General features: G+C 52.8%; 1 protein-coding gene across 7 annotated transcripts in view, besides 1 other annotated feature; it reads right to left on the bottom strand.

Annotated features, from left to right (window-relative positions):
• The window catches only part of SEPTIN9 (septin 9), a 219,098-nt gene that overhangs the window by 85,129 nt on the left and 125,717 nt on the right, over positions 1–8,252 (bottom strand).
• Positions 5,750–6,254: an enhancer, noted in NCBI's record as "H3K27ac-H3K4me1 hESC enhancer chr17:75405296-75405800 (GRCh37/hg19 assembly coordinates)". NCBI's record gives its function as "activates a minimal SCP1, AML or CMV promoter by ChIP-STARR-seq in naive H9 embryonic stem cells {active_cell/tissue: H9 hESC(naive)}" and the evidence as "EXISTENCE:reporter gene assay evidence [ECO:0000049][PMID:30033119]".

Genomic DNA, 8,252 nt, shown 5'->3' with positions numbered 1-8,252 from the left:
ACCCAGCTAATTTTTATATTTTTAGTAGAGACGGGGTTTTGCCATGTTGGCCAGGCTGGTCTCGAACTCCTGACCTCAGGTGATCTGCCTGCCTCAACTTCCCAAAGTGCTGGGATTACAGGTGTGAGGCACCACGCCTGGCCGAGACTTCTTGAATAAACAAACATTACCGGCATGGAGATCCGCCCAGGGAACCTGCTCAGACTCTGCCATTGCACCTCTGCCTGCTGCGCCCAGAGGCAACCCAGGGCCGCTCCAGCCGCCTCCACCTGGCCACCTCCTGGCCCTCACCCAGGCCGGCTTGTCCCACCCTGTGGGCCAAGAAAACGATCTAGTGGGTGGTGACCAGCATTTTTTTTTTAATTTGAAAAGAATACACTCACCAGCGGTGGCAGCAACCCAATGTCCCTCAGCTGATGAAGGCAACATGTCTGTCCACAATGGAATGGTCCATGCCATGGTGGAATATTACTCAGGGACGCACTGGCACCTGCCACAATGTGGATGGACCTTGGAAACATGACACCAAGTGGAGAAGCCAGACACAAAGGCCAAACGTGCAATTCTCTGTACAAGAAATGTCTAGAATCGGCCAGGCGCAGTAGCTCACGCCTGTAATTCCAGAACTTTGGGAGGCCAAGGCAGGAGGATCATTTGAGCCCAGGAGTTCAAGACCAGCCTGGGCAACATGGTGAAACCCCATCTCTACAAAAAATACAAAAATTAGCCGGGCATGGTGGCACAGGCCTGTAGTCTCAGCTACTCGGGAGGCCATGGTGGGAGGATGGCTTGAGCCTGGGAGGTGGAGGTTGCAGTGAGCAGAGATTGAGCCATTGCACCCCAGCCTGGGTGACAGAGTGAGACCCTATCTCAAAAAAAAAAAAAAAAAAAAAAAGAATCCACACAGATAGGAAGGAAATATGGAGGAGGAGGGCAGGATTGATAGCTAAAGGCTACGGGGTTTCTTCTTAAGAAAAAAATTTTCTAAATTTCTCAAATTTTCAATTTTCTAAAATTGGTTGTGGTGACGATGGTTGCACTACTCTCTGAATAGACTGAAAACCATGGAATTATGCACTTTAAATGGGTGGATTGGGCCACGCGGTGACTCATGCCTGTAATCCCAGCACTTTGGGAGGCTGAGGCGGGTGGATCACCTGAGGTCAGGAGTTCGAGACCAGCCTCAACATGGAGAAACCCCGTCTCTACTAAAAATACAAAATTAGCCGGGCGTAGTGGTACATGTCTGTAATCTCAGCTACTCGGGAGGCTGAGGCAGGAGAATTGGTTGAACCCAGGAGGCGGAGGTTGCAGTCAGCCGAGATGGCGCCACTGCACTCCAGCCTAGGCGACAAGAGTGAAACTCCGTCTCAAAAAAATAAATAAATAAATAAATTGGTGGATTGTATAGTAGCTTACTTGGATCTCAATAAAGCTGTTTAAAAAAAAATGAAAAAAAGCCTTCCCTCTCTCCAAAACAAACAAACAAAAAGAAAAAAAGAGAGAGGGGAAAAAAAAAAAAAAAAAGAAAATACTGAGTGTAGCACACGCATGGTAAAGGTAAGAATTCCATCACGGAAATTTGGTTTCATTAATACATCCCATCCCCACCCCCACCCCATATATAGGTGTGTCCTGGTTCGTGGTGTCAATCGCATGTCTTTCTGGAGGCTGCAGTCCAGACTGGTTTTGAAAGCTGCTCTCTGGGCAACTCCAAACTTCTCATAATTCCTGAAGCCCTTGGCCTGCTGGGACCACTCAGCCCCCTAGACCCAGTCCCGTCACTACCTACTCAAGACTGCAGCCTTGGGGAGGGGGGCTCTCTCCTAAGGGTGCAGGGGTCCTGTGGCTTCATCCCCTCTCAGAATACACATCACCCTGCACTGCACACATGTGCCTCAACATGGAGCATCCCAGGACGCTGGCCACAGTCAGTCATGTTTGCACACCGACTGATCGATCGTGCTCTGCTGATCAATCATGTCAATCACCGCGCTGCACACTGTCCTCACTAAGCGAGCTAAAGCAACCCCCTCGGAATAAGCTGACGGATTTTAAATAAGCTAAAAGACACTTTTCTAGGAAAAAAATAGTAATGAATTTTAAGAAGAAAGAAAAACTCCCAAACTCACAGACCCATGGAAAAAGTTTAAGTTTTTAAAGTGCTAGACTCCCCCAAAAGTATCAGGCTCAGATGGTTTCACGAGTGAATTCTTGAAAAGTTTTAACAGAGAGATTATTATGTTGCTGCTTAAAATGTTCCAGAAGGCAGAGGGTAAAAGAAATGCATCCAAATTGTTTTTGCTAAGCCAGCACAATGCAGACACCAAAACTGATAAAAATAGCACACACACACACACACACACACACACACACACACGCCCCACCCGCTCCAGACCAAGCTCGCTGCTGTGTATCCAAGCAATACCATCTACCCCTACCTCGCTGCTGAAACCAAAATACATTCCAATGGATTCATGATTTCAACATGTAAAAATGAAACCACAGAAGTACTAGAAGAAAACGTGGGTGAAATTCTTTCCTATAATTTCAGAACGCAGGAGACCTCTAAACAGGATGTGAATTCCAAAAGCTAAAAGGGAAAGCAGAGACTTGACAATATCAGGATTAAAATGTTCTGTGTAGAAGAACATCCCAGAAACAAAATCAAAAGTAGGCAGCTGGGGACAAGATACTCGTACCTGCTGTGATAAAGATGTACAAATAACTCTTTTTTTTTTTTAGACAGGATCTCACTCTGTCACCCAGGCTGGAGTGCAGTGGTATGACCACAGCTCACAGCAGCCTCAAACTCCCAGACTCAAATGATCCTCCCACATCAGCCTCCCGAGTAGCCGGGACTACAGGCGCACCACCTCACCCAGCTAATTTTTGCAGAGATGCGGTTTTGCCATGTTGCCTAGGCTGGTCTCGAACTCCTAAGCTCAAGCAATCCGCCCACTTCAGCCTCCCAAAGTGCTGGGATTATAGGTGTTAGCCATCACGCCTGGCTTACAAAGAACTCTTTTTAAAAAATTTCAACAAGAAAAGGATACACCTTCCAAATGAAAAGAGAACACAGGGCCCTGGCCTATAACATACGAAGAGATAATCCCTCTCGCTTGACCGAGATGCACAAAATAAAACACCAATTGGAGAGCATTTGGCCCTCAGCCAGGGGTAAGGGGCATAGGACCTCCCTGCTGGACCATCACTGCACAGGGCCCAGCAGACAGCTGAGCAGGTCGACGAGGGGAGGGGTCCTAAAAAATTCTAGTAACCACTTTAGAGGCCAATTCAGGAACAAGGATCAATTTTTTTTTTTTTTTTTTTTTTTTGATAGGGAGTCTCGCTCTGTCACCCAGGCTGGAGTGCAATGGCACGATCTTGGCTCACTGCAACCTCTGCCTGCTGGGTTCAAGCAAGTCTCCTGCCTTAGCCTCCTGAGTAACTGGGACTACAGGCACAAGCCACCATGCCCAGCTAATTTTTGTATTTTTAGTAGAGATGGGGTTTCACCATGTTGGCCAGGCTGGTCTTGAACTCCTGACCTCAAGTGATCAGCCCGCCTTGGCCTCCCAAAGTGCTGGGATTACAGGTGTGAGCCACTGTGCCCAGCAGATCAAAACTTAAATGCACACATCCTTGACACAGAAATTCACTAAGAGCTCATCCTTCAGTCATGTGTGCACATGTACAAGTGCGAGAACATCTGTTGCAGCCTCTCAATCACAGTGGGAAGCTGGACAAGCCTGGCAGGGCCATGGGACAGCTGATGACACAACCATTAAAAGGAACGTGCTACTTTGGGAGGCCGAGGTGGGCGGATCTCAAGGTCAGGAGTTCAAGAGCAGCCTGGCCAACATGGTGAAACCCCGTCTCTACTAAAAATACAAAAATTAGCCAGGTGTGGTGGCAAGCACCTGTGATTTCAGCTACTTGGGAGGCTGAGGCAGGAGAATCGCTTGAAAGCGGAAGGCGAAAGGTGGAGGTTACAGTGAGCCACAGTGAGCTGAGATCGCACCACTGCACTCCAGCCTGGGCCACGCTCTGTCAAAAAAAAAAAAAAAGAAAAAGAAAAAGGAACGTGCTACATCTACAAGTGGCAACAGTGTTGTTAAATGGAAAAAATAAAAGCTGGTAGCAGAAGTCTGATTTCCTTTGTGTTCTTGAAAAGTCTATATTTACACATTGACTTTTTTTACACAAGCCCTGAATGACTCTGCAGGAATAAAATTCAGGAGAATGCCACACCCAGCTGTCAACATGGCCACCCCTTGGGAGAGAGTTGGGGAATGGGAGAGAAAAACTTCTTTCCAAATTTCATGTGATCTTCATTTTCTATCTAAGAATGACTGGGCATCGCTTTTTTTTTTTTTTCCCAGATGGGAGTCTTGTTCTGTTGCCCAGGCTGGACTGCACTGGCACAATCTCAGCTCACTGCAACCTCCGCCTCCTGGGTTCAAGTGATTCTCCTGCCTCAGCCTCCCAAGCAGCTGGGACTACAGGTGCCCGCCACCACGCCCCGTCGTGCATTGCTTTTTAGGATGAAGAAAGGGAAAGGTCACAGGGAGAATGGGAGCCAGAACACAGAGCAGGGCTTCTAAACACCAGCTTGCGGGTGAGAGAGACACGGGGCGACACCACCGGCCTGGAACCTAGGGATGGCATGAGGTGCTGCCCAGGGGCTTCAGACAAGGCCTGCTTGCTGATTAAGTAAGGGTTGTGTTGGCTTTTGTTTATGTGCTTGTTTAACACGAATCCCCCAGGCGCTCCACCCTGCTTCACGAATCATCACTGTCCACTCTAACCACGCTGCACAGGAAGAATTGTGCCCACTTCCACAATGAGAAAACGGACCAGAGAGGAAAGCCACTAGGCAGGGCAGGGGCGGCAGCCCAGGCAGTGTGAGGGCAAAGCCGGTGCTCCTCTGCCATTTCCCCACACACGAGTGGGCAAGGCATTACAGGAGTCTATATCTTAACCTCTGCGGGCCATTTTGGAAGGCGGCAGATGGAATCAGTGATTTCCAGGGCCATTTCCAGTTCCAGGTTTCAGACAGGGGCCGTGGAGTGGAATCGAGCTTGACCCAGGTGTGCTGATGGTAGCCATGTAACTGTGGACAAATCACTTTCCCCCTCACCTGCACTGGATGAGACCGGGAATCTCCACTCTGGGTTCTTTAAGAGTCCTGGGGCTCCACAGAGTACACCCAGTAGCAGCAGTGGGATGGGGGGACAGGGTCAGGGGAGCTCCATGCCTCCCTCAACTTTAATCAGAGCATCTCCACTTTAACCCCTTCCTGGGCCCAGTGTTCAGAGAGAACGGGAAGGAAGCTCAGCCCTGGCCATGGGCTACTCTAGCCTGTCAGTTACAGCCCATACCCCAGGAGCCCCCCTTGGACTGAAGGAGACAGAGTCACTTATAACACCCACAGAAAACCCCGGAGAGGAAGTGGAGTCCAACTGAGGAAGCGCCTCCCTGCAGCTCTCAGAAATGAGGTCACAGGTGAGACAGTGTGTCAGGGTGGACCACATGGCATCCTCCCAGGCTGTCTGCTGGAATCCAGGGTCTGGTTAGGGGCTGCCCACACTTTGGGCCCCGAGGCGGGGAGTCTGAGTGCGCTCCTCCAGGGCTGAATGTGCCCTCTGTCCACACCGCACAGAGCATGGCTGTCTGGCCGCGGCGCGCCCCTCCGGACAGGCTCGCCATTGTGCAGACCCTCAATCCCGGCAGCTGTCCCGGGCCTGGGAGGCGGCGGGTACAGACACAGCTCCTCTCTCTTCTGGCAGCTGCTCTGACTTCCTGGGACAAGTGCTGAGAGGCGGCCTCACCCAGTGCCATGTGTCTGGGGGCCGGGGCTCCATCCTGGGGCCAGGCTGGGTGGTCAGGGCCACAGAGCTGCAGGGGGCGGAGCAGAGAAACCGCCCCCAGCGCCTGCCTCCTGGCCCCACCCTTCCCCGCAGCTGCGCTCTATTTAAGGTATTCCACAGCTGCTCGGCACCCGCTGCATTCCCGGACCAGCCCTCCTTTCCTCTCACCACTGCACGGTGCTTGGCAGGCCGGCGAGGGGAGGGGTTCTCTTCCTGGGCTCTGGAGCCAGGCTCTGTTCTCTGGCCCCACCCCGTCCCACCACGAAGGAGACACACCGGGCCTGGCCAATCCTCCCGCATTGATTCCTGTTCCCCCAGCACATGCGGGACTTCCCACTCTAGACCTAGGTCTGAGAGGCTCCAGGGACAGTTCGGAGAAGGAGGGTACTTGTTCTTAGAAGGGGAAAGAGAAAGAGACCCAATCCCAAAGTAAAAGGGGACCTGGGTGCCCTCTGCAAGCAGCTCAGGAAAATGGGAGGAGGTGGGAGCAGCGGGACCTTCCGAGTAAGGCATCCCGGCAGGAACGTCAGTGCCTTCTGGACACCTCCAGAAGCAGAAGCACACAGCCCCACAGAAAAATCCTGCAGGCTCAGGACCCGAGGCATGACACGATCCAAACTCACTGCTTCATCAGACACCAGTGAGTCCCTCGACGCTTACCAAGGCCCCCTGCCTTACACCTGGTACTGGACGAACCTGCACACCCTGCCTCAGGGAGTCCACAGTCCAGGGATAGGCTCAGAGCCTATGTGGGGTGTCCTGTAAACACGGGGCCAGAAGCTGGGCTGTCTATGGGGCCCTTCCTCCCTAAATCACAGTGGTCACCCTCTCCCCAACTTCACAGTCCCTGATCCCCACCAGGAACTTCTGGGGCCCAGTAGGTGTCCCTCCCTTGCAGGCTGATGCCCGCCCTCCCCACCCCCCACTCAGGCTCAGCTCTGACCCCACTTTCCCCAAAGCCACCTCTTCACTGCTCTGTGTTGGGTGGTTCCAGGGAGCCCTGTGCTTTGATTAACCCTATACTCAACGCTGTACTGGCAGCCCTGCTGTCTGTGCTGAGATTCCTCCCTGTTCTGCCCCTGGAACACACGGCCCGGTGCGGACCAAGTATGCGAAGAGCCACGCCCACCATCATCAGCTCGGGGGGGCCTGACCCCCTGCTCCCTCAACGCTCCACCCACATGACAAAGATTTCCAGACCCTCTGGGTCACAGGAAAACTACTGAGACATGCTGCCATGTCTACCCCGCCCCAATTTCACATCCATGTTCACAAGTGGCCCCAGAACCACTGTGGACTCCCTTCTTGGTTCTTGGGGTGGGTGGATACATGAGAGCTCAGCCCCCAGCCACCTCTGCAGATGCCTCTTTGACAGATCAAGAAATTGAGGCTGGGAGGGGTGGAATGATAGTTCAGAACCAGTTGACTCATGGGGCAGAGCTGGGACATGCCCAGAACTGAGCTGGGCACTGGGCCTGGCCTCCCTCTTGCCCCCAGTGAGCATCCCAAGAAGGCAGAGAACCAGACCCATGAACGAGCGCTGAGCACCCGCCTTATAAGGCAGCTCTGGAGAAACTTGGCTGGTGTGGCTGAGGAGCCGGAGGGGGGTAACTCTGGTGGGGGGGGCTCTGAGCCAGCAGCCAGCCCTTGCAGGCTCAGTACTGGGTGCTGCAGCCCAGCCCCACCCCACTCCACCCAGAGGCACCCATGTTGGGGGGCAGGAAAAGAGCAGGGATCCAGGAGAGGAGGCAAGGCCGTCCCCACCCAGAGCCTGAGAGGACCAGGGATGACCCCAAAGGATGAGCGCCCTTCTGTGGGAGGACAGCAAGGAGGGTGCCAAGTCCAGGGGCAGGGCCAGAGCCTCGGAAACCGAGAATCCACCCCACCAGCATAAAGCTCAGACCTCACCAGGCCCTGGGGCGGAGGAGCAGGCAGGGATGCCTCTGCCCTCTGCAGCGCCTCTCTTCCTCTCCCTCCCCTTCAACCATCTAGGTGCCCACACTCCCTCCTGAAATGCTGACTCCTTCCAGAACCCCCACACTGAAGCCAACACCCACCCACTGAGCCCTCCAGCACAACCTCCAGAGGAGAGACCAGGTGTCCTGGGGGTAAAGTTGACCAGGAAAGTTTCTGCTTGGTCTCTAGGGACGACCCATGGGGGTCACTACATCTGCCTACAAGAACCACAAAAAAGCCATCCCAACTCACCACCAGTGGCTCACTCCTTCAGCATAATTTCATGGCACACCTATTATGTCCAAGTCACTTACTTGGTATCTTATGGGATTTTTTTTTTTTTTTTTTTTTTTTTTGAGACAGGGTCTCACTCTGTCTCCTAGGCTGGAGTGCAGTGGCACAATCTCAGCTCACCGCAGCCTC

The sequence above is a fragment of the Homo sapiens genome, chromosome 17, assembly GCF_000001405.40.
Source record: "Homo sapiens chromosome 17, GRCh38.p14 Primary Assembly".
Classification (NCBI taxonomy): domain Eukaryota; kingdom Metazoa; phylum Chordata; class Mammalia; order Primates; family Hominidae; genus Homo; species Homo sapiens.
This window is presented reverse-complemented; position numbering and strand designations above follow the sequence as displayed.